The sequence below is a fragment of the Homo sapiens genome, chromosome 13, assembly GCF_000001405.40.
Source record: "Homo sapiens chromosome 13, GRCh38.p14 Primary Assembly".
Taxonomy (NCBI): Eukaryota; Metazoa; Chordata; class Mammalia; order Primates; family Hominidae; genus Homo; species Homo sapiens.
In genome coordinates, this window is record NC_000013.11 from 110030285 (window position 1) to 110056431 (window position 26147).

Here is a 26147-nt window from a genome sequence, read left to right on the forward strand (position 1 = left end):
AGCCCCAGCAGTGCTCTAAAGAGTTCAGTTTGGTGTCTGTTTATTCACACCAGAGTGTCGGTACTCCCTAATATGCAAGTAGCCTTCTCTAGAAAGAAAGATAAACTAAATCCTCAAGCTTCCCCTACCACTTTGGACCAAGTTTCCTACCACTTTGGACCAGGAGTGTGCTGGCCATAGCCATTGGTGATGGGCACGGAAGTCAGCAGTTGGGCCACAAATTATCACACAAAACTTCCTGAGCAAGCAACAGGTGCACAACCCCGGAACTGAAAGACGAAACCGAAGTGCAAACCATCCTTACAAGTCAGTAAGCTGGGGGCCAGACCAGACACGGGACTGGCCAGAGAGGCTCATGTGTCATTAGAAGGTGACCTTCATTATCCAAAGACATTAGCCCTGTCCTTTCTGGAGTTTCACAATTAGTGATAACTCCAAAAGCCACTGCCCACAGTCAGAAGTGTGTTGCTTAATGGACTATTGTTGACCGTGAATGTTGTAATGAATACACTTGGCTGTAGGAAAACGTAGAAGTGTCAATTCAAGAAACAGCTGCACATACAAACATGGCAGCCTAGCCATCTGTAATATATCATAGGCTAATCAGCACTTTTAAAAACAAATTAAAAGTCATTGTTAGGAATATGAGTATGAATTATCCCATAGAAAGCACCTTCCAAACTACTAGGAAATGCCCCAACATGGAGAGCTGAGGGAATCCCCCTGTGCCCGTTGATGCTAGAGTGTATGATGGTGGTCTATTTGCATGGTATACTAGTCTACTTGGGCTGCCGTAACAGAATACCACAGATTGGGTGGCTTAAAAACAGAAATTTATTTTCTCATGGTTCTGGAGTTCAAGGTGCTAGCATGGATGGCTTCTAGTGAGGACACTCTTCCAGGTTTGCAGACAGCCACCTTCTTGCTGTGTCCTCACATGGCCTTTTCTCCATGCTTGTGCATCTCTGATGCCTCTTCCTCTTCTTTGCAAGGACACCAGCACTACTGGATTGGAGCTCCATTCTTATGGTTTCATTTAACCTCAATCACCTCCTTAGAGACCCTATCTCCAAATGCAGCCACGCCAGGGTCAGGGCTTCGGTATATGAATGTAGGAGGGTACCATTCGGTCTATAACAGGAGGCTTTGAAAAACTACAGGTTCTAATTAAATTTCAAAAGTCATTCAGGTACCATCTTAAAAGAACAAGTTCTTTTCTCACACTTAAGAGGTCCCACTTCTGGAGGAAAGGACCCTGGTGTTGAGAACAGCACAGAAAGCAGCAAGTCCTGGAGGTGTGCAGGCTGAGGGGATGCTTGAGCGGGAGCTGAAAGGTGAGCACCCAGGGATGCCTTCCAACTTCCAGCCCTGTGTTCCACCCTGACAACCCTTTCTAGTCTCACTCCCCCTTTCCCCCCAGGAGTCAGACTAGAAGAGGACAGTGTTGGAGGTGTTGTTATACCTGTACACGTTCAATTAATACGTTTGGAAATATTTCCTTAACCTCACTCTTCCCTTTCTTCCTTCTCCCACCAAAATGCCACTAGAATTTTTGCTTATATGAGTTTCATCTACAAAGGACACCCAGAATTTCCACCACATGTCAAACGTGATTTTTGGCTGACCTTACTGACAACTTCATATTTCTGGAAATTAAGAGGGAGGAAGGTTGAATCAAGGGGTGTCTTAGGCAATATGTTTTGGGTGAAGAACCAATAAAATCAGAACAAAATAGTTGCCAAATTTGGATATTGTGATTTACGGGAGTCTTCTCCTCTGCTCCCCTTCCCTCCTTTTCCCTCCCCTCTCTTACTCTTCCCTCCCCTCCTCTTCCCTTCCCTCCTCTTCTTACCTGCTGCCCCCATGGCCAAGTATACAGCTCTTCTGAGACACTTTTGATGTGCTTCGTAAATGCTTCTTTCTTATCTATGGCTCCCACAACTATGTGAGCTTCTTCAGGACAGGAATTTGGTCTTAGATATTTTTCTATCACCTTGAATATCTCAACCTCCTGCAATAGCTTAGGCCATGTCGTCAGCATACCACAAAAATTTTACTGATTTAGAATTAAACAAATTATTAAAGAGGTAAAGCTAGTTCTCCTTTAATGATGCTGATCAAAAACTGGCAAACTGAATGCAAGGGAAACTCTTTTCTAAACTTAAACCATCACTGAATAGGCCCTAATGGAATACAATAGTCATTAAGCACCTACCTACTATAGGCAAGGCATTGCTAAATACTACAGATGATACAAACACAAATGAGAAAAATTTCTGTTCTCAAAGAGTTTGAAGCATAAGAGAAGAAATCAGAGAGGTACCTGGATATTTGTGCTCCATGTTAGGCATTGGCATCGAAATTGGTATTTAAACGGAACGTTCCCAAAGCTTCGGCACATGTGTGGCAGCCCCCACATGGTGCCTACCGAGAAACAGGGCACACATGAGGAAGTCAGGCCATTCCTTCCTTCGCATTCTTTCCTCAAGTGAGAGAGACTGGTGCCTCCGAGTTGAAGATTCTATCTGAAAACGAAGAGAATTAGGCTTTGATGTCTGTAGCATGTGAACACCGGATGGCCGTTATTAGTTTACTATCCAGTGTTCACCTTCCCACCCGCTTCTCCTTAAAGAGGCCATGTGGATTTTTATCCCATTATCCTCCCCTGCTCCATGGGCTATGGGGAAGGCTGACACTACATGATGCCAGGGGTGACCAGGGCAGCATCTTTCCTTCCCTGGCCACAGCATCTGGTCGTTTTACATAAACCATCTGATCAGGGTTCCTCTCAAAATTGTTGCTTGGGAAAATGCTCTCCGTCTGCGAATTGTCCTGAATTCTTCCCAGAAAACAAGGGACCCAGCTTTCAGACGAAGCGTGACTGCAGAATGCAGGTCTTGATGACATCATCTGGCCTCTGAATCAATCAACTCTGATATCTGCCCTACTCTGTACTTTCAGCTACATGAGATTTTTAAAAAATCATGTTTTTTGCTTAAGCATTTTGATTTGGGTTATCTGTTATTTGTAAAGAATCCTAACTGATAGGCACACCATAAAAGGAAAGGTCCAGGAAATTTAAATCATCTTGTATAATTTCTTTGGGAATCCTAGTCTTTTGGTTAGGACATAGGTGTTTGCTTATAGGCCTCAACTTGAGATGTCTGTGCCAGTGCAGAATGGAAAGGACTTGACATCTAAAGAAGAAATTAATGGTCTAGTGCTTATCATTGGCCTTGGGAAGTCACTTGTTCATTTTGAGCCTCAGGTTCATCACCTGCCAAACAGGAGAGATGGTGTGTCTCTGGAGTTCTTGTGAGACACCAATCAATCCAATCATGAATGTGGCGGGCTTGCTCAGAGTGCAAAGTGGATATCAACAACATTTCAACCTGAGCCAATATACACCTCCGTGGAATAATGGATGATAAAACCAACTTACCCATTTAGGTGGAATCACTGGTCTACTTGGCAGAGGATCAACAACTCTGCAAAACTTCCAACACAAGCTAGAGCTGTGGCCGGTGGTACAAGTTACTTCTCACTCCTTCAACACAAGGCCGAGGTGCTAGCCCAGCCAAAAAACATCTTCATAAAGGGACTGAACACTCCCCTGCCCTAACTATTGCCCCTCTAAGTATTTTTTAATCTCAAATATTTTTTAAAAAAATAGTTAAAGATTACAACCACATTATGCAATCCAGCATCTAAGTAGGGTAAGAAGAAATTAAAATTCTCCTTTTTTGGAGGTTTGGTCCCATTTGGTGAACATCTTCAGGAACAGTAAGCATAGAGTCCACAGAGAAGAATTTGAGAGATGTGAGATGCATCAACTGTGTGTTTTCTACAAACTTGGATTTGACGTCTCATCCTCAATGTCTGGTCTTACTTCGTCACTGATGCCAAATGTTTAACTCAGAAAGATAAGATTCGAGAAGATGATAAGGGCTGCTCTGTTCTTGTAACACAGGAACATTCATTTTTGCCTCAAAGGAGCTTACAACATATTCAGAAAGGGGAGCGTGTACTCCCTGGTGTCCCTAGGAAGATCACATAAAACTAAATCACAAAGACATTAAAGTAATAAATCTTTCTTTGTGTGGAACCCAAACTAATCACAGGAGTAAGATCCCAAGGGGAGGCAGGGTGAGATGGAGGGGAGGAGAGAAGGAAGAAAGAGGAGGTTTGATGAAGGGTGTTAATTTTTCTCCTTAAAAACAACAAAAAACCTATAAACTGCTGTTCCCTCCATCAGTCATTCATTACTGGCCATGAGAGTCTATTCTAAGGTATGTCCCTTGGGTGAAACTGCCTCAAACTAAACATTGCATGGCTAAGATAACGGACATGCAGAAGTAAAAGATAGAACTGAAAAGAGATCTCACAAATATTGGCAGCAATCTTTCCCAAAAGTGAAAATAAAATGAGAAAAAAGAATTGTAATGACTTCATGTATAGCTTATATATATTTGCTTTCAGGTATTATAATAGAGAAAGAGAAAAATCCTTCCTGTAATAAAAACCTAACCACTTCTCTCTCCCAAAAGCAGACAGAAAATAAAATGAGATTTTTAAAAATTCAATTACCTAGTGCCAAACATTAACCTGAGATGGATACCACATCAACATTAAAATGTAAATTAACACTTTAAGAGAAAACTATCAGTTCTAGAATGAATGGAAACCTCTTTCCTAGGACACTTAAAACATCTTTCAGCAAATCTAAACAGCTGTCACAAGAGCCAGGCTTCACACGGCATCCCGAGACAGGGGACATGGCCACTCCACATCAAATTAAATTTAATTCATCTATTAGAACCACCAATATTGAATGTTTTATTCCCCATATTCCTAGGAAATATAACTTCTGGATAGCACTCCTCTAACTTTTTCCCCTACCCAGAATGTATTCACCTGCTGTTTTCATTGTTGCAAATACATGTTAATGTTAAAAAAATAAAATAAAACGTAAACACAAAGGCAATTTATTGTTTCTACCACGAAATTCTAAAGCCAACAATAACCTCCATAATTATTCACTGCCAAGCTCTAACCCACAATGTGACTCTATTTGTAGATGGGGCATATAAGGGGGTAATTATGGGTGGGACCCTAATACAAGAGAGCTGACGCTTTATGAGAAAGGAAGAGACACAAGAGCCCTCTCTCTCTCTCTCTCTGAGGATGCAGTGAGAAGGCAGCCATCTACAAGCCAGGAAGAGAGTCCTCACTAAGAACTAAATTGGCCAGCAGCTTAGTCCTTAGACTTTCCAATCTCCAGAATTCTGAGAGGCAAATTTCTGTTGTTCAAACCAAAATAAAATTTATACGCTTTCTTTGTGTCAAGGAAAAGAGCTTGTCAGAATTTTTTAAAGGAAAGAAAAGAGAAAATAAACAACTGAAGTCTGAGAACTTGCTGGTATTCAAGATTAAAAGATGTTAGGCCTTGTTTAAAAATAGTGAGATTACCAAGCTTAGTGATTTCAAGTCAAATCATTTGACATTGACACTTTGGGGATATTAATATTCACAACGTGCCAAGAAATTTGATATATGGTGTCCCTTAACTGCTCTTAAGGGAATGGGGTTTTTTTAAGTATATCTATCTATCTATCTATAGATAGATATATATACCATATACATATATACTATATAGATAGTATATGTATACACGATATATATAGTGTATATATACACTATATATATATATATACTATATTATCTATATAGTATATATATAGAGAGAGATACATAATATATGTATTCATTCACATGTAAGCTCACTGTGTATTTAAGGCCGCGATAAATAATGCTGAGTGCTTTGATACATGAACCACATTCATCTGAGGTTTCTAGGAATTAAATTTAAATCAAATATTGCATAGAAAGTGGCAGCATTTCACTTCAAACTCTTCTCTTATCAAGCTTTATTTTTACAAAGTCCAGTGCAAATATTGACCATGTTTTATAAATTTCAAAGGATCTTGATTAGAGAGAGCTTTCAGGTAAACAGCTTTATTTATCTCCCTTAGTTTCATTGTAGGATTCTGTTCAGGGGAGATTCTGTTCAGGGGATATTCATGTTGGTCAATTAACTATTTTTTCATTAAGTTCCACTTAACATACAATTCGCAGTGCTCTAAAGATAAGGTAACCCTACCCCTCAGTTAGCATCTGGGGTTAGCATTTTAGCACTCTCAACAGTGAACAAGTTTGGGAGAGGACTCACATGCTTACTCTAGAATTTCCATTTGGTGAAACACAATGAAAACAATGGGGTGGGGGAGGTTGGGCAGATGCGGAAGTTCGAGGAATTCACAGAGCAATAATGAACCAAAGCCCAGTCTATCCACGTAGGTGGATGTTCACATGAGCACGAACAGGGAGAGGGAGGCCAAGGAAAGGCCTGCCTGCGTGGCAGAGCATGGCTGTGCAAGACTTAACAGACTGTGTCCCGCTCCCTGTGTCACACAGTGGGCTCATCCCATGTCCTGTGAGCTTGGTTATGGTTAACAGGAGAGCACCCTGGCCCGGCTGAGTATCAGCCCCTGCCACCAGGGTGCCATGCTGCTTCTCAATGGGAAGGTGCAATGGGCAGAGCTGGAGATCTTCTCAGTCCTTCATATTCTTGTGATGGAATCACAGAGTCACTGCTCTCCAGGATGTTTGTGATCCACTGGCTTAGTCCTACATTAAAAAAAAAGGTGAGAAGGCTGAGGGTCAGTGAGGGGAAATGACTTGCCTGGCATCGCAGGGGTATTCATCCCATTGGCAGGACCAGTGCAGGTGCCCAAATCCCCATCTTCCCATTCTCATGGAGTCATCATCATTGCCATCATCATTGCAGCTGGCCCTTATGAAGCACTTTCTGTGTTAGGCATGGCATTGAGCAATTTTACTTGAAATATCTCACTAACCCTTCAAAATTAATCAGTGCATTAAGGATTTTGTTATCACCATTTTATATGCAAGAATGAGAATTCATGATATAAAGGTCTAACAGCTATTAAGTTCTAGGGGCAATGATTGAACAAAAGTAGTTTACTTCACTACACCAACCCTGAATCACTTATTTGATTTCTACAAAGCACCCAGAGGATTGTTCCTTTCTCACCTTAAATGGGACAGCCCAGAGATTCGGGAGTTCATGTCTTATAGGCAATCTCAAGTCCAAGGGAAGAGGAGATGTGATTTTATGTTTTTTTAAAATGTTTTATATGTGTCTTTATTTTTATTATTATTGTATATATATTTAAGGTCTGTAGCATATTTTGACACATATACACATAGTGAATGATTACTACAGTCAAACACATTAACATTCATCACCTCACTTAGAGATCTCGTGTGTGCATGTGGTAAGAGCACCTAAAATCGAATCTCTTAGCAAACTTTGAGGATACACACACAAAAAAAATGTAATTAACTATATTGCACCTGCTGGACCTCAGAGCTCTAGGCTTATTCAGTCTACATACCTGAAAGTTTGTACCCTTCCATCTACATCTCCCTATCTTCTTCCCCTCCTTACCCCTGGTAACCAACATTCTACTCTGTTTCTATGTATTTGACTTTTTAAAAAAAATTCCACATATAAGTAAGATCATGTAAATATTTTTCTTTCTGTGTCTGCCTGTTTCACTTAGCATAACATCCCCCAGGTTTACCCATGTTGTCACAAATGGCAAGATATCTTTCTTTTTTAAGGATGACATGTACACACACACACAGGCACACACACACACACACACACACACCACTGTTTCTTTCTCTATTCATTCACTGACAAACATTGGGGTGGTTTCCCCATCTTGGCCATGGTGAATAGTACCGCAGTAACATAGGAGCACAGATCTCTTGGTGAGGTGCTGGTTTCATTTCCTTTGGGTTTATACCCAACAGAGGGATTTCTGGGTCATGTGGTAGATCTATTTTTAATTATTTTGAGGAAACTGCATAGTGTTTTCCATAATGGCAGCTCTTTTTTACATTCCCACCAGGGTTCCCTTCTCTCCACATCCCTGCTAATTCTTGTTCTCTCTTGGCTTTTTTGGTAACAGCCATCCTAACAGGTGTGAGGTGCTATCTCATTGTGGTTTGGATTTGCGTTTCCCTGATGGTTACAGATGTTGAGGCTGTTTTGTCTATCTGTTGGCCATTTGTATGTCTTCTTTTAAAAAAGAAGGACCTATTGCAAACTTTTTGCTCATTTTTTAATTGGATTATTTGTTTTTTGTTTTTTGGGTTTTTTATTGTTTGTTTGTTTGTTTTGCTATTTAGTTGTGCAAGTTCCTTATATGTTTTGGATACTAACTCCTAATCAGATGTATGGTTTGCAAATATGTTGTCTCATCCCATAGGCTGTCTCTTTCCTTTGCTGACTGTTTCCTTTGCTGTACAAAGTTTTTAATTTGATATAGTCACACTTGGTTATTTTTGCTGTTTTTGCCTGAGCTTTTGGTGTGATTAAAAAAAAAAAAGCATTGCTAAGGCCAATATCAAGGAGTTTTCTTCTTATGTTTTCTTCCAGGAGTTTTAGTTTCAAGTCTTCTGTTTAGGTCTTTAATTCACTTTGAGCTGATTTTTGTGTATGGTGTGAGACAAGAGCCCATTGTCATTCCTTTGAATGTGTATATCCAGTTTTCCTGCACAATTTATTGAAGAAACCATCCTTTCTCCACTAACATATGCAAATCAATCAGTGTGGCATACCACATAACCTCATGGTCATCTCAGTCGATGGAGAAAAAGCATTTGACACAGTTCAACATCCTTTCATGATAAAAACTCTCAACAAAATAAGTACAGAAGAAAATTCCTTCAACATACTAAATGCTATTTGTGAAAATTCCACAGCTTATATTGTAATCAATAAGGGAAAACAGAGCTTTTTCTCTAAGATCTAGTACAAGGCAAAAATGCCCAATCTCACTACTTCTATTCAACATAATATTAGAAGTAATAGCAAGAGCAATTGGACAAGAAAAAAATCATCAGAGACAACCAAACCAGACAGGAGGAAGGAAAGTTATCCCACTTTGCAGATAACATGGAGAAAAAAGTGTTACAACTAATCAATGAATTCAATAAAATAGCAGAATACAAAATCAACATACAAAAAATCAGTGGCATGCCGCTTCACCAATAACAATCTATTCAAAAAAGATACCAAGAAAACAATCTCACTTACAATAGCAACAAAAAGAGTAAGATACTTAAGAATGAAGTTAATATTTTATTGAGAATTTTTGCATCAATGTTCATCAAGGATATTGGTCTAAAATTCTTTTTTTTTGTTGAGTCTCTGTCAGGCATTGGTATCAGGATGATGCTGGCCTCATAAAATGAGTTAGGGAGGATTCCCTCTTTTTCTATTGACTGGAATAGTTTCAGAAGGAATGGTACCAGCTCCTCCTTGTACCTCTGGTAGAATTTGGCTGTGAGTCCGTCTGGTCCTGGACTTCTTTTGGTTGGTAAGCTATTAATTATTGCCTCAATTTCAGAGCCTGTCAAAAAGCTTATCCACCATGATCAAGCAGGCTTCATTCCTGGGCTGCAAGGCTGGTTCAACATATGCCAATCAATAAATGTAATCCAGTATATAAACAGAACCAAAGACAAAAACCACATGATTATCTCAATAGATGCAGAAAAGGCCTTTGAAAAAAATTCAACAGCCCTTCATGTTAAAAACTCTCAATAAATTAGGTATTGGTGGGATGTATCTCAAAATTATAAGAGCTATTTATGACAAACCCACAGCCAATATCATACTGAATGGGCAAAAACTGGAAGCATTCCCTTGGAAAACTGGCACAAGACAGGGATGCCCTCTCTCACCACTCCTATTCAACGTAGTGTTGGAAGTTCTGGCCAGGGCAATCAGGAAGGAGAAAGAAATAAAGGGTATTCAGTTAGGAAAAGAGGAAGTCAAATTGTCCCTGTTTGCAGATGACATGATTGTATATTTAGAAAACCCCATTGTCTCAGCCCAAAATCTCCTTAAGCTGATAAGCAACTTCAGCAAAGTCTCAGGATACAAAATCAATGTGCAAAAATCACAAGCATTCTTATACACCAATAACAGACAAACAGAGAGCCAAATCATGAGTGAACTCCCATTCACAATTGCTTCAAAGAGAATAAAATACCTAGGAATCCAATTTACAAGGCATGTGAAGGACCTCTTCAAGGAGAACTACAAACCACTGCTCAACGAAATAAAAGAGGATACAAACAAATGGAAGAACATTCCATGCTCATGGATAGGAAGAATCAATATTGTGAAAATGGCCATACTGGCCAAGGTAATTTATAGATTCAATGCCATCCTCATCAAGCTACCAATGACTTTCTTCACAGAATTGGAAAAAGCTACTTTAAAGTTCATATGGAACCAAAAAAGAGCCCGCATTGCCAAGTCAGTCCTAAGCCAAAAGAACAAAGCTGGAGGCATCATGCTACCTGACTTCAAACTATGCTGTAAGGCTACAGTAACCAAAACAGCAGGATACTGGTACCAAAACAGAGATACAGACCAATGGAACAGAACAGAGCCCTTAGAAATAATACCACACATCTACAACTATCTGATCTTTGACAAACCTGACAAAAACAAGCAATGGGGGAAGGATTCCCTATTTAGCAAATGGTGCTGGGAAAACTGGCTAACCATATGTAGAAAGCTGAAACTGGATCCCTTCCTTACACCTTATACAAAAATTAATTCAAGATGGATTAAAGACTTAAATGTTAGACCTAAAACCATAAAAACCCTAGAAGAAAGCCTAGGCAATACCATTCAGGACATAGGCATGGGCAAGGACTTCATGTCTAAAACACCAAAAGCAATGGCAACAAAAGCCAAAATTGACAAATGGGATCTAATTAAACTAAAGAGCTTCTGCACAGCAAAAGAAACTACCATCAGAGTGAACAGGCAACCTACAGAATGGGAGAAAATTTTTGCAATCTACTCATCTGACAAAGGGCTAATATCCAGAATCTACAAAGAACTCAAACAAATTTACAAGAAAAAAACAAACAACCCCATCAAAAAGTGGGCAAAGGATATGAACAGACACTTCTCAAAAGAAGACATGCAGCCAGCAGACACATGAAAAAATGCTCATCATCACTGGCCATCAGAGAAATGCAAATCAAAACCACAATGAGACACCATCTTACACAAGTTAGGATGGCAACCATTAAAAAGTCAGGAAACAACAGGTGCTGGAGAGGATGTGGAGAAATAGGAACACTTTTACACTGTTGGTGGGACTGAAAACTGGTTCAACCATTGTGGAAGACAGTGTGGCGATTCCTCAAGGATCTAGAACTAGAAATACCATTTGACCCAGCCATCCCATTACTGGGTATATAACCAAAGGATTATAAATCATGCTGCTATAAAGACACATGCACACGTATGTTTATTGTGGCACTATTCACAATAGCAAAGACCTGAAACCAACCCAAATGTCCAACAATGATAGACTGGATTAAGAAAATGTGGCACATATACACCATGGAATACTATGCAGCCATGAAAAAGGATGAGTTCATGTCCTTTGTAGGGACATGGATGAAGCTGGAAACCGCCATTCTCGGCAAACTATCGCAAGGACAAAAAACCAAACACCACATGTTCTCACTCATAGGTGGGAATTGAACAATGAGAACACTTGGACATGGGAAGGGGGACATCACACACCAGGGCCTGTTGTGGGGTGGGGGGAGGGGGGAGGGATAGCATTAGGAGATATACCTAATGTAAATGACGAGTTAATGGGTGCAGCACACCAACATGGCACATGTATACATACGTAACAAACCTGCACATTGTGCCCATGTACCCTAGAACTTAAAGTATAATAATAAAAAAGTAATAAAAATAAATTTGTAAGGGCTCTATATAGAAAAAAAAAAAGAATGAAGTTAACCAAAGAATTACAAGATCTGTACAGAGAAAACTGTAAAACACTGATGAAAGAAATTGAAAAAGACATGAATAAATGAAAAGCTATCCTGTGTTCATGGACTGGAGGAATTAACATTGTTGAAACGTTTATATTACCCAAAGCAATCTGTAGATTCGTGCAATTCCTACCAAAATTCCAATGGCATTTTTCACAGAAGTAGAAACAAGTAATTCTAAAATGTTTATGGAACCACAAACGACCCCAAACAGCCAAAACAATCTTGAGGAAAAAAACGAAGGTGATTTTAAAGCTTTCTCAGCACGCTTGCCTGAAAAAATGTTTTATCTGCCCACTCAGCTCAAACTGGAAAAGAACATCTCAGCCTCCTCCTTGCAAATGAGCAAGTGAAGGTCCCCAGTGGGAATCAGCTGTTCCCTCGTGAGTCCTTTACTTAAGAAGCCCTTGGGGGATTGGTTGTGTCTTTAACTTCTGTCCTTATAAAGAAGGCGAGAGCACTCAACGGAAACCGAGCTTGAAGAGTTCTGCAGGAAGGACATTTGTGAAGGCTCAGGTCAACTGTCAGCTTCGGAATGCCTGCCAACCCTCACCCACCCCGAGCTCTTGGACTGCACAGAAACCTCCCGGCTTAAGTGGGAGACATGCGGGCAGATCCCGTTCTCCACACTTGGGGACTCCAGAGGCCTTGGTAGATCACATTGTGGTTGCTGGCAGGAAGGTTGAAACTCATCCCAAGAACCTCAAAAACATCTCCAAGAAACACTCCTTGATGCGGCCGTCCATCACCGAAGGGATAGACGCGTCCCTCCCATCCTGTTTCCCAGCCTTGTCAGAAGAGCATGGCAACCATCATCAACCTTCTAGGGGTCCTGCTCCGGAACTGTCGTCCCCTTCAGGGCCCTGCTGTGCAAGACCTGGCCTCTTTCCCCACAGCCCAGCCTCCCCGGAAATGTACTGAGATAGCCACTCCATTGGCACTTGCACACACAGACACACATGCCACACACAGACATACACACCACACACTCACACTACACACACACACCACACACACACTACACACATACAGACACACACACAGACACACACACCACACATACACCCCACACACAGACACACCACAGCCACACACACCACACACACACACCACACACTCAGACACATCACACACACACTACACACACACACAGACACACACCACACACACATTCTACACACACAGGCACACACACACCACACACACACACGCCACACACAGAGACACACACATCACACAGCGCACACACCACACATACACCATGCACACAGACACACACACAGATACCACACACACACCACACACACAGATACCACACACACACCACACACTCAGACATACACACACCACACAGAAACACACACCACACATACACCACACACACAGAAACACATACAGACACCACACAGACACATACACACACAAACACACACCACACAGACACACAAACACACATACCCCCCACACACCATTCATACACCATACACACAGAGAGAAACACACCACACATATACCACACACACACAGACACCCAGGCACACACACCACACACACACACCACAGAGAGACACACACACATCAAAGACACACACACCACACACAGACACACACACCACACACAGACACATACACACACACAAACACACCCCACACACAGACATACACACACAAACACACACCACACATAGTCGCACACACACAGATACACACACACAGTCTGAACTTCTTTAAGAACCTGCAAATCATGCTAGCTACAGAGGGGGAAATACGCTACTTCATTTATCTCACGTGAATTGTAAATGTTCACAAAATCCCAGAAAAGTACACGTGTGAATAATAGGAAACAAACTTAAAAGGAAACAAAGGCTGCTCCTCATCTCCTAGCCATTATTTCCCATAGACCACACAATTTTAGGGTTCACTTTCCACTGAGCGTCAAGAAAATGGTTTTCAGGAAGCATGAATTCTACCTCTTTCCTGAGGGAAAAATATCTCAGCACTCCTTGACTAAAAAACATAAACACAAATAGAGCCATTCCATTAATTCTTGACTTTTTACAGGACTTTTTAAAAACAGATGTATCTTTAGGCACAGTGACCACTCACTCACCTTTTCATTTTGATTGTTTAAAAAAGACAGAAAATGAAACCCTTTGGGTCCTCTGCCCACTGCATTCCTGTTAATTGATGTTGTTCAATCTCTGGGGCAGATCGTTCAAAGATCTCCCTTGAAAATGCAATTCCTCATGTAACAGTCTAGGGACTTTCTAGAAGTCAATCACATATGACCTAGGGACCCTCAGTCCTCACCACCAAGCACGCCAGTGGCCCAGTTGGTCCAGAAACAAGAGTCACTGCCGCAGCGTGGATGAGCGCGGGATTCTGAAATGCGCTTTCACCCCCCACCTCCACCTCTCCCAGGAGAACACTTCGCAGCTGCATTCATCACCACCAGGGAGTCTAACTCACACGGAAACACCAGTTTCCCTAAGCATTTAGCTGACTTGAAGAACTTACAAAACAGAACTGCTTGCGTTGAGCGAAATCTAACTGAAAACAGATTTACTTAAAATTCTCAGCAAGACTTCAAGCATTGGAGGGGGAGGGGGCATTCAGACAAAGCAGCTTCTAAAATCATATGACAGGGTCCTCCATCACTTCACACATTAATGGGATGTTGAGAGTGTGTAACGTTGGAGACCTACACTAAGTTATGTATTTAGATAGCAGCCGTTTCCCTAATTATACCCAGATGACTACTTCCCAGTCTCTTGAGCTGAATAATCATCATTACCCGTCTCGTCTCACCGCCTATGATATGCAGTAATTAAAAATGCAATGGATTTGTCACTCAGACCAAATACCGGACTGGGTTTCTCCAAGACCGTCTGAGCCTCAAAGGAGACAGAAAAAAACAACAAGGTCTGCAATCTTACCTTCTCTGCCAAGGACACTCCTCCAGCATTCTAATGCCTGACCTTCCCAACCTTCCCTTTAGCCTGAAAATATGATTGTATCCAAAATGAATGACTTTGATCTCTTGATGAGGAACTGACTTTGTGATTGCTGGTTTCAGGATTAGGAAACTGTGTGAACACAGGACTATGCCAGTCCGGCAGCTGAGAACCACTCCTCTGAAACAGTAAACCCAGGCAGAGCGGAACCAGCTCACCTTCCGAGAAAGCTGGCTCACGAAAACACAGAGCAACTGTGGCGATCTTTTGACTGCTCTCTATACACTTTGAAAAAGTCCTCCTTTAATATTCAAAGCGACCCTGTTCGCTGTACTTTTGCAGTGATCCGGTATCGTTCCAGGCACAGTTCTGCGGGCTACATTCTAGGAATCCACCAACAACCTTCAGAATCCCCCTATAAGAAATGGCAGTTGCATTTCATTTATGGCACCTTTTAATGGATGAATAAATTTGAGCATAAGAAATTATTTAAACAAAATTGCAATTCTGACAGCTGAGCCGATGGAGAAAGAAACCCAAAAGACCTGTCTCCCTTTCGCATTACCTCACCTCCTCAAGTCATTCCCTTGTTTTCTGTAGAACTCTATCAGCAGATAGAGGAGGGAAGGAGAGGTTGACCATGTTTCTGAAAAATAGTGGCTGAAACTTTAATGCAAACTTCATAGAAACACATTAGAGGCCCACAGGTGGATGACGCAGGAAAGCATGGTGACCTGCTGATTCTGTCCTGAGGCCTCCCACCTTCTCCTGCATCACAGAATCCTTCACGGCTGTTCTTTCTCCCCAAAACATCAAACCGCCTCTGACCACCCTGAATCTCTGTGACCTGAGAGTTCCACTGAAGTCCACACACAGAGGGAAGGACTTTGACTTCTCAGTCCAAACTTCCTTTCACTTTAAAAAAAAAAAAAAAAGTTGTGTAATATCCCCCACTCTCCAGCATTGATAACCGGTAAGTATATTTGCAATTTCACAGGATTTGCCCAACGCAAAAAAAACACTTTTTAATTATCTACTTCTTGCTTGGAACAGTCTTATGATTCAAGAACTGAATCTTAGAGTGGCATTTCAGGCACTGTCCTGTGGAGAGGGGGAGTAGGAGGTGGGTCCAGTTGAAACAGCGCTTGGGAAGGAGGTAGCCCTCCTCTCCTGCTTGGTGGTTGCCCCCTGATAGGACACTTTTGAGCAATGTCTTATTTCATGGTCTCTACAAAATAAAAAAGGAAAATATAGCTTCTTCTCCTTAACCAAGAGAGCCCGTCCCAATCCCCTAATCCTCCTTAAAAATATCCAGACAGGCCAGGCGCGGTGGCTCATGCCTGTAATTCCAGCACTTTGGAAGGCCAAGGCCGGTAGATCACAAAGTCAGGAGATCGAGACTATCCTGGCTAACACGGCAAAACCCCATCTCTACTAAAAATAGGAAAATTAGCCAGGCGTGTAGTCCCAGCTACTCGGGAGGCTGAGGCAGGAGAATGGCATGAATCCGGGAGGCGGAGCTTGCAGCGAGCCGAGATGGCGCCACTGCACTCCAGTCTGGGTGACAGAGACAGACTCCATCTCAAAGAAAAAAGAAAAAGAAAAAGAAAAAAAATATATATATATCCAAACAGCCCTTGTAGGTGCTCATGGTCTAATGCAGAAAGCTTGAAACATTGAGCTGGACTGAAAGTCTGGGAGGAGCCCTTTCATATTTCAACACTGGGCCTGGAAAATGCTTTTTGTAAATGGACAGCTTAGATTCTGCCCAACAGCCAGGATTGTAAAGTTTATTCGCGTGCACAGTGGTCTCGAAAGCACTTCCGTATAATTAGGAGTGATTGTACTCACTTGTCAAATCTGACCAATAGATTTTAATTCTCCAAAACTCAGCCCATACATTTCCCAAGGCACAATCATACATATCATAAACTATTATGTTCAAATCATAGTAATCTTCAAAATACAAGATAAATAAAATGCAACATTTCAAGCCTACTTTCAAAAAAAATTTAGGTCTAACGATTCTTACTCTCACTGCCTGCTCTAGAAGAGAAAGAGTGTACAATAGTACAAAAATTAATATAGAAACTGCTGCACCCACTGTTTCTGAGATTGTTTCTCCAGGCCCTCCAAAGCAATCATGCAAACTAGTTTAATTTTTAAAAATTGTTGGAGTGCTTTATGCTTGAGTTCTTGTAAGAGATTTAAGATAAAACAAACACACACAATCTGTAAATACCAGCATTAAAAACACCCATGTAGGCAGAAGTACACAAAACCACAGGAGATTTTAAAAAGGTGGTGGGGGTGGGGGGCTTCGAAAAGATCTGCAGGAAACAGACGGTGGTTGAAATGGCCTTATTTCCAGGCCACCCCAGGCTCCTCGTCCCCCGCTCCTGACTTGAAGTGAGCTGGTGGACTCCCTCCCCTTCTCCATATCTGTGATCCAGCTTCCTGCTCACCCGCCCACAGCCCTCAAGTGGACTGACTACTTTGGCCTCTCTCCCACTGCACTCCAGACAAATCCATTTGTATTCGCACCAGTAAACATACTCTTGCCAACTGAACCATTGATAAAACTATGTTACGACAACCTCCTTTCAAATGAGAATGAGCAACTCCTGAGTGACCTCATGGGAGGGGCCAGCCATGCACTGCACAGCTCCAACTTCATTCCCCAATTTAGCAGACAGTTACTGAATATCCTTTTACCGTAGGCTGAGCTTACCAAGATGAACACCCGCAGAGGGAGTAGAGTCTAGTCAAGGGGTGCGCTGGACACCAGAGCTCCTGTGGTTACCCAGCTTCACCAATAGCTGTTTTCAGGTTTTTAAAAAATTAGCCATTTTCAATACCATTCAGGACATAGGCATGGGCAAAGACTTCATGATTAACACAAAAAGCAATGGCAACAAAAGCCAAAATTGACAAATGGGATCTAATTAAACTAAAGAGCTTCTGCACAGTGAAAGAAACTATCATCAGAGTGAACAGGCAATCCACAGAATGGGAGAAAATGTTTACAATCTACCTATCTGACAAAGGGCTAATATCCAGAATCTATAAAGAACTTAAACAAATTTACAAGAAAAAATCAAACAACCCCATCAAAAAGTGGGAAAAGGATATGAACAGACCTTCTCAAAGGAACACATTCATGTGGCCAACAAACATATGAAAAAAAGCTCATCATCCCTGGTCATTAGAGAAATGCAAATCAAAATCACAATGAGATACCATCTCACACCAGTTAGAATGGCGATCATTAAAAAGTCAGGAAACAACAGATGCTGGAGAGGATGTGGAGAAATAGGAACACTTTTACACTGTTGGTGGAAGTGTAAGTTAGTTCAACCATTGTGTAAGACAGTATGGCGATTCCTCAAGGATCTAGAACTAGAAATACCATTTGACCCAGCAATCCTATTACTAGGTATGTACCCAAGGATTATAAATCGTTCTACTATAAAGACACATGCACACATATGTTTACTGCAGCACTATTCACAATGGCAAAGACTTGGAACCAACCCAAATGCCTATCAATGATAGACTGGATAAAGAAAATGTGGCACATACAAAGAGACTTAGACTCCCACACAATAATAATGGGAGACTTTAGCACCCCACTGTCAACATTAGACAGATCAACGAGACAGAAAGTTAACAAGGATATCCAGGAATTGAACTCAGCTCTGCACCAAGTGGATTTAATAGACATCTACAGAACTCTCCACCCCAAATCAACAGAATATACATTCTTCTCAGCACCACACTGCACCTATTCCAAAATTCACTACATAGTTGGAAGTAAAGCAGTCCTCAGCAAACGTAAAAGGACAGAAATTATAATAAACTGTCTCCCAGACCACAGTGCAATCAAACTAGAACTCAGGATTAAGAAACTCACTCAAAACCGTTCAACTACATGGAAACTGAACCACCTGCTCCTGAATGACTACTGGGTACATAACGAAATGAAGGCAGAAATAAAGATGTTCTTTGAAACCAATGAGAACAAAGACACAACATACCAGAATCTCTGGGACACATTTAAAGCAGTGTGTAGAGGGAAATTTATAGCACTAAATGCCCACAAGAGGAAGCAGGAAAGATCTAAAATTGACACCCTAACATCACAATTAAAAGAACTAGAGAAGCAAGAGCAAACACATTCAAAAGCTAGCAGAAGGCAAGAAATAACTAAGATCAGAGCAGAACTGAAGGAGATACAGATACAAAAAAACCCTTCAAAAAATCAATGAATCTAGGAGCAGGTTTTTTGAAAAGATCAACAAAATTGAAAGACTGCTAGCAGGACTAATAAAGAAGACAAGACAGAAGAATCAAATAGACGAAATAAAAAATGATAAAGGGGATATCACCACCGATCCCACAGAAATACAAACTACCATCAGAGAATACTATAAACACCTCTACGCAAGTAAACTAGAAAATCTAGAAGAAATGGATAAATTCCTGGACACATATACCCTCCCAAGACTAAACCAAGAAGAAGTTGAATCCCTGAATACACCAATAACAGGCTCTGAAATTGAGGTAATAATTAATAGCTTACCAACCAAAAAAAAGTCCAGGACCAGACAGATTCACAGCTGAATTCTACCAGAGGTACAAGGAAAAGCTGGTACCATTCTTTCTGAAACTATTCCAATCAATAGAAAAAGAGGGAATCCTCTCTAACTCATTTTATGAAGCCAGCATCATTCTGATACCAAAGCGTGACAGAGACACAACAAAAAAAGAGAATTTTAGACCAATATCCCTGATGAACGTTGATGCAAAAATCCTCAATAAAATACTGGCAAACCAAATCCAGCAGCACATCGAAAAGCTTATCCACCATGATCAAGTGGGCTTCATCCCTGGGATGCAAGGCTGGTTCAATATACGGACATCAATAAACATAATCCAGCATATAAACAGAACCAAAGACAAAAACCACATGATTGTCTCAATAGATGCAGAAAAGGCCTTTGAAAAAATTCAACAGCCTTCATGGTAAAAACTCTCAATAAATTAGGTATTGGTGGGATGTATCTCAAAATTATAAGAGCTATTTATGACAAATCCACAGCCAATATCATACAGAATGGGCAAAAACTGGAAGCATTCCCTTGGAAAACTGGCACAAGACAGGGATGCCCTCTCTCACCACTCCTATTCAACATAATGTTGGAAGTTCTGGCCAGGGCAATCAGGAAGGAGAAAGAAATAAAGGGTATTCAATTAGGAAAAGAGGAAGTCAAATTGTCCCTGTTTGCAGATGACATGATTGTATATTTAGAAAACCTCATCGTCTCAGCCCAAAATCTCCTTAAGCTGATAAGCAACTTCAGCAAAGTCTCAGGATACAAAATCAATGTGCAAAAATCACAAGCATTCTTATATACCAATAACAGACAAACAGAGAGCCAAATCATGAGTGAACTCCCATTCACAATTGCTTCAAAGAGAATGAAATACCTAGGAATCCAATTCACAAGGCATGTGAAGGACCTCTTCAAGGAGAACTACAAACCACTGCTCAATGAAATAAAAGAGGATACAAACAAATGGAAGAACATTCCATGCTCATGGATAGGAAGAATCAATATCATGAAAATGGCCATACTGGCCAAGGTAATTTATAGATTCAATGCCATCCCCATCAAGCTACCAATGACTTTCTTCACAGAATTGGAAAAAACTACTTTAAAGTTCATATGGAACCAAAAAAAAGACCCGCATTACCAAGACAATCCTAAGCCAAAAGAACAAAGCTGGAGGCATCATGCTACCTGACTTCAAACTATACTACGAGGATATGGTAACCAAAACAGTTACTGGTACCAAGGTACTGGTACCAAAACAAAGATATAGACCAATGGAACAGAACAGAGCCCTCAGAAATAATACCACACATCTGTAACCATCTGATCTTTGACAAACCTGACAAAAACAAGCTATGGGGAAAGCATTCCCTATTTAATAAATGGTGCTGGGAAAACTGGCTAGCCATATGTAGAAAGCTAAAACTGGATCCCTTCCTTACACCTTATACAAAAATTAATTCAAGGTGGATTAAAGACTTAAATGTTAGATCTAAAACCATAAAAACCCTATAAGAGGGCCGGGCATGGAGGCTCATGCCTGTAATCCCAGCACTTTGGGAGGCCGAGGTGGGTGGATCAGGAGGTCAGGAGATCAAGACCAGCCTGGCTAACATGGTGAAACCCCATCTCTACTAAAAATACTAAAAATTAGCCAGGCGTGGTGGCAGACACCTATAGTCCCAGCTACTTGGGAGGCTGAAGCAGGAGAATGGCATGAACCTGGGAGGCAGAGCTTGCAGTGAGCCGAGATCTCACCACTGCACTCCAGCCTGGGGGACAGAGTGAGACTCCATCTCAAAAAAAAACAAAAAAAACCCTAGAAGAAAACCTAGGCAATACCATTCAGGACATAGGCATGGGCAAGGACTTCATGTCTAAAACACCAAAAGCAATGGCAACAAAAGCCAAAATTGACAAATGGGATCTAATTAAACTGAAGAGCTTCTGCACAGCAAAAGAAACTACCATCAGAGTGAACAGGCAACCTACAGAATGGGAGAAAATTTTTGCAATCTACTCATCTGACAAAGAGCTAATATCCAGAATCTACAATGAACTCAAACAAATTTACAAGAAAAAAACAAACTACCCCATCAAAAAGTGGGCAAAGGATATGAATGGACACTTCTCAAAAGAAGACATTTATGCAGCCAAAAGACACATGAAAAAATGCTCATCATCACTGGCCATCAGAGAAATGCAAATCAAAACCACAATGAGACACCATCTCACACCAGTTAGAATGGCAATCATTAAAAAGTCAGGAAATAACAGGTGCTGGAGAGGATGTGGAGAAATAGGAACACTTTTACACTGTTGGTGGGACTGTAAACTAGTTCAACCATTGTGGAAGACAGTGTGGTGATTCCTCAGGGATCTAGAACTAGAAATACCATTTGACTCAGCCATCCCATTACTGGGTATATACCCAAAGGATTATAAATCATGCTGCTATAAAGACACATGCACACGTATGTTTATTGCGGCACTATTCACAATAGCAAAGACTTGGAACCAACCCAAATGTCCATCAATGATAGACTGGAGTAAGAAAATGTGGCACATATACACCATGGAATACTATGCATTCATAAAAAATGATGAGTTCATGTCCATTGTAGGGACATGGATGAAGCTGGAAACCATCATTCTCAGCAAACTATTACAAGGACAAAAAAACCAAACACCACGTGTTCTCACTCATAGGTGGGAATTGAACAATGAGAACACTTGGACACAGGAAGGGGAACATCACACACCGGAGCCTGTTGTGGGGTGGGGGGAGGGGGGAGGGATAGCATTAGGAGATATACCTAATGTAAATGACAAGTTAATGGGTGCAACACACCAACATGGCGCATGTATACACATGTAACAAACCTGCACATTGTGCACATGTACCCTAGAACTTAAAGTATAATAAAAAAAAATGTGGCACACCGTGGAACACTATGCAGCCATAAAAAAGGATGAGTTCATGTCCTTTGCAGGGACATGGATGAAGCTAGGAGCCATCATTCTCAGCAAACTAACACAGGAACAGAAAACCAAACACCATATGTTCTCACTCATAAGTGGGAGTTAAACAATGAGAACATACGGACACAGGGAGGGGAACATCACACATGGGGGCCTGTTGGGGGTCGGCGGCTAGGAGAGGGATAGCATTAGGAGAAATACCTAATGTAGATGACGTGTTTATGGGTGCAGCAAACCACCATGGCACGTGTATACCTAATGTAACAAACCTGCACGTTCTGCACATGTATCCCAGAACTTAAAGTATAAGAATTTAAAAAATAGCCATTTTAGTGGGTTTCTTCCTATGTGTTTCTCTGAAGTCCTCCTCTCTTTTCTCTCATATGGACATCAGTCACTGGATTTAGGATTCATCCGAAATTCAGGATGAGTCATCTTAAGATCTTCAATTACATCTGCAAAGCCTCTAATTCCAAATAGTCACTCTCTGAAGTCCCAGGTGGGTGTGAACCTTTGGAGGACACAAGTCAACCCAGTGAGTAGGAAGTGGAAGTTGAGGTTCCTTTTTTCCACATGGATATCCAGTTCCAGCATGATTTCTGAAAATAACTTACTTTCTTTCTGCCATGATGTTCAAATATGCTTTATTCTCACCAAATTTTGGTCTGTTGGTTCTACCAATCACTGAAAGAGAAATGTTGAAGCCATGGAATTGTCTTGGTGGATTTTGTCTATTTCTCCACCAGTTATGCCATTTTCTTCGTGTATTTTCAAGCTCTGCTATCAGGCACACACACATCTAGAATTATTGTCAGTTTTTCCCTGTTCTTCATTTGGATAATTTCTATTGCCCTGCATCCAAAGGCACTATTCTTTTCTTCTCTCATATCCAAGCTGTTGTAAGCCAGTCCAGTAAATTTTTTTATTTCCCATATTATATTTCTCAGCTTTAGAATTTGTGTTTTATTCTTTTTAATAGTTTGGAATTTTTGTTAAAATCCCCAGCCATTCACCTTTTTGTTTCTCTTTTGCTTCAAGTCTCTGAAATATCAGCTGCTTTAAGTCCTCGTCTGCTCATTCCCACATTCCCACTACATCCAGGTAGGTCTCCACTGACCTTTTCCCCTCCTGGTTATGGTGTTCATCTCCCTGCTTCTTTTCACCTCTAGCGATTGTTTTAATTGTGCGTTTAACATTATAGGATGCCATCCTGCTGAAATGCTGCACTCTGTCGTTGGAGCTGTGGGTGTCTCTGAAGTCCTCCTCTCTTTTCTCTCATATGGACATCAGTCAGATGTAAGGGCTGCTGAGTTTTGCTTGGTCAGCAGTGAATTTATCGGTGGGACTGGCTGACTTTCGCAGGCTTCCCTGTAAGTTTAACTGGAGAAGTCCCCGCATAGCCCTACCTGGCAGCTGAGAGAGACCCGTGCACGGCGCGTGCCGTTCTGTGTCCCTGTTGAATGCAGGTGTGCAGTGCGGTCTCCCCAACCTTCTGCGTGGGCTACTCTGGACTCTCCGTTCTGCTCAAAGTGTTCTTTGTTCTCCATGAGGCTCAAGGGGACTCTCCGCAGATTTCTTCAGATCCTGTCAGACACCCACTGCAAACCTTGCCACCTCCTCACACACCCCAACCTCTACCATCTGTCCGCAACTCCATGAGGCCACCATGCTGTACATGGGCTCCACCCGCTCATGCCACAGTCCAGAGAGAGCATCTCAGCAATCCCAGAGCACACCCCACGCACCCGCCAGGAATCCCACCCTTGGCTGTGGTCCTCAGTGTCTGAAAACAGGTGCTTCATGCATTCTGTTCAGTTTCTACTTGTTGATGTGGAGAGGGATACTTCAGCACCAGTACTCTGTTGTGTCTCATAAATGGGTCCTAATTAGTATTTTCTTACTTTCTGGAAACAAAAGTTTGGTCACTTACTGTGTTTTCCTTTTTCTTCTTTTTTTTCAGGCTTTCAGGAAGCTCCTCAGAGGTGAATCAGATAATGAAGCAGAACAAGATCTGCCCTTGTGAATTGCTTATTTGATTGCCATCATCTTAATTTTAATTTTATTATAAAGTGTGTAGGCAACACAGTTGAAGAAAACTGTGAAGCCACAGGAGCCTAAGCAATAGATTCGATTCCTTCCATTTGACTCCATTGTCATCCTTCCACTTCATATCCCTATCCCATCCTACCTGGTCTCATAGTGACTGTCGAATCCCCCTTAGCCTGCATTCTGAACAAATGCACCTAGTTGGATTCCTCTCTCATCCTTGCAAAAACAAAACAAATAAAGCAGAAACACCCTTTGCTCATGTTTCTACCAAAATAAGCATTGCCTGTGAGCTCTATGTGCCTTACTTGTGTTGTGCCCTCTGCAGCGCCCAGCAAGATGCCTGATCCACAGTCAGCAGACAACAAACAGCTTCAAGGCTCTGTTGGGTCAGGGCAGTCTTTAGATGAAAACCCTGCTCAGTGAGGAAACCACAGTCTCACCACAACGGGGCATTCCAGGAGCTTGTCTGTGTCAGCATAGATGTTCGCCTCTGCACAAGGTGTTGTGAATTACTGTACTTGCCCTTCTTCTCTATCTAGGTCATTTTTCTTTTCCAATGGTGCCTTTAATTTAGATTTGGGAGGGGTTAAGATACTGGCAGCTCTTTGTTCTTTGAGCTTATAAAACAATGACAGAGCTAGAGTGTTCTTCTGAGCAAGGCGATCTGCTGGTTGATAATGATGATATGAGAGAGAAATAGCAGATGTGTTTTAGTGTCAACACTGAAGGACATTCCGAAGGCCTCATCCCTAGCTCAGACATAGGGCTCCACGCAGCTGCTGATCTTGTCCATTACTGTATCAGTCAGGTTTCTCCAGAAAAACAGAACCAACAGGAGATGAGAGAGAGGACAATTTTAAGAAATTTGCCATGCGATTGTGCGGCGGCCGAATCCAAAATCAGTGGTGCAGGTCAGCAGCTGGAAACTGAGGCAGGAGCCAGTGCTGCCATGTTGAGGTGGAACGTCTTCCTCTATGGAAACCTCTGTCTTTAACAGTAAGGCCTATGGCTGGCTGGGTGAGGCCCACCCACATTACAGAGTGTAATCTCCTTTACTTCAAGTTAACTGATTGCAGAGACTGAGCACATCTGTAGAATACTTTCACAGCAACACCTAGATCCGTGCTTGATTAAATACACGTAAAGAATTGCTTATGGAGGCATCCATATAAACAAGTTTTAAAGGGATTGGTTTTAAGTTTCATGGCAAAAAATACAGAAGGTAATTAACGTACAGAAAATATTTACCCTTGGTCAAGTGCAGTGGCTCATGCCTGTAATCCCAGCACATTGGGAGGCTGAGGCAGAAGGACTGCTTGAGGCTAGGAGTTCAAGACCAGTCTGGGCAACGTAGGGAAACCTTGTCTCTAAAAAAAAAAAGAAAAAATTTAAGTAGCTGGGCATGGTGGTGTACGCCTGTAGTCCCAGCTACTGGGGAGGGTGAGCTGGAAGGATCACTTGAGCACAGGAGGTCAAGGCTGCATTGAGTCATGATGGCACCACTGCACTCCAGCCTGGGCAACAGAGCGAGACCCTGTTTCAAAGAAGGAAGGAAGGAAGGAAAGGAAGG

At 41.6% G+C, this 26147-nt stretch overlaps 2 long non-coding RNA genes across 19 annotated transcripts in view; one reads left to right on the plus strand and one right to left on the minus strand.

Moving 5' to 3' along the window:
* Positions 1 to 26147, minus strand: part of LINC03082 (long intergenic non-protein coding RNA 3082) — a 145761-nt gene that overhangs the window by 46909 nt on the left and 72705 nt on the right. For 2 of the 18 annotated variants that reach the window (NR_187459.1, NR_187460.1), the window contains exons 2-4: positions 25826 to 25944; positions 6230 to 6687; positions 2324 to 2525 (exon numbers count right to left, since the gene is read on the minus strand). This is a non-coding gene — a long non-coding RNA (long intergenic non-protein coding RNA 3082). Of the gene's footprint in view, positions 1 to 811; positions 2526 to 4969; positions 6688 to 14912; positions 15826 to 25825; positions 25945 to 26147 lie in introns of those variants that run through there. The other 16 variants (NR_187462.1, NR_187446.1, NR_187461.1 and 13 more) reach the window with 14 other exon arrangements.
* Positions 23001 to 24668, plus strand: LINC00396 (long intergenic non-protein coding RNA 396). The gene is made up of 4 exons (NR_126387.1): positions 23001 to 23027; positions 23567 to 23629; positions 23730 to 23898; positions 24489 to 24668. It is a non-coding gene; the product is annotated as a long intergenic non-protein coding RNA 396 (long non-coding RNA).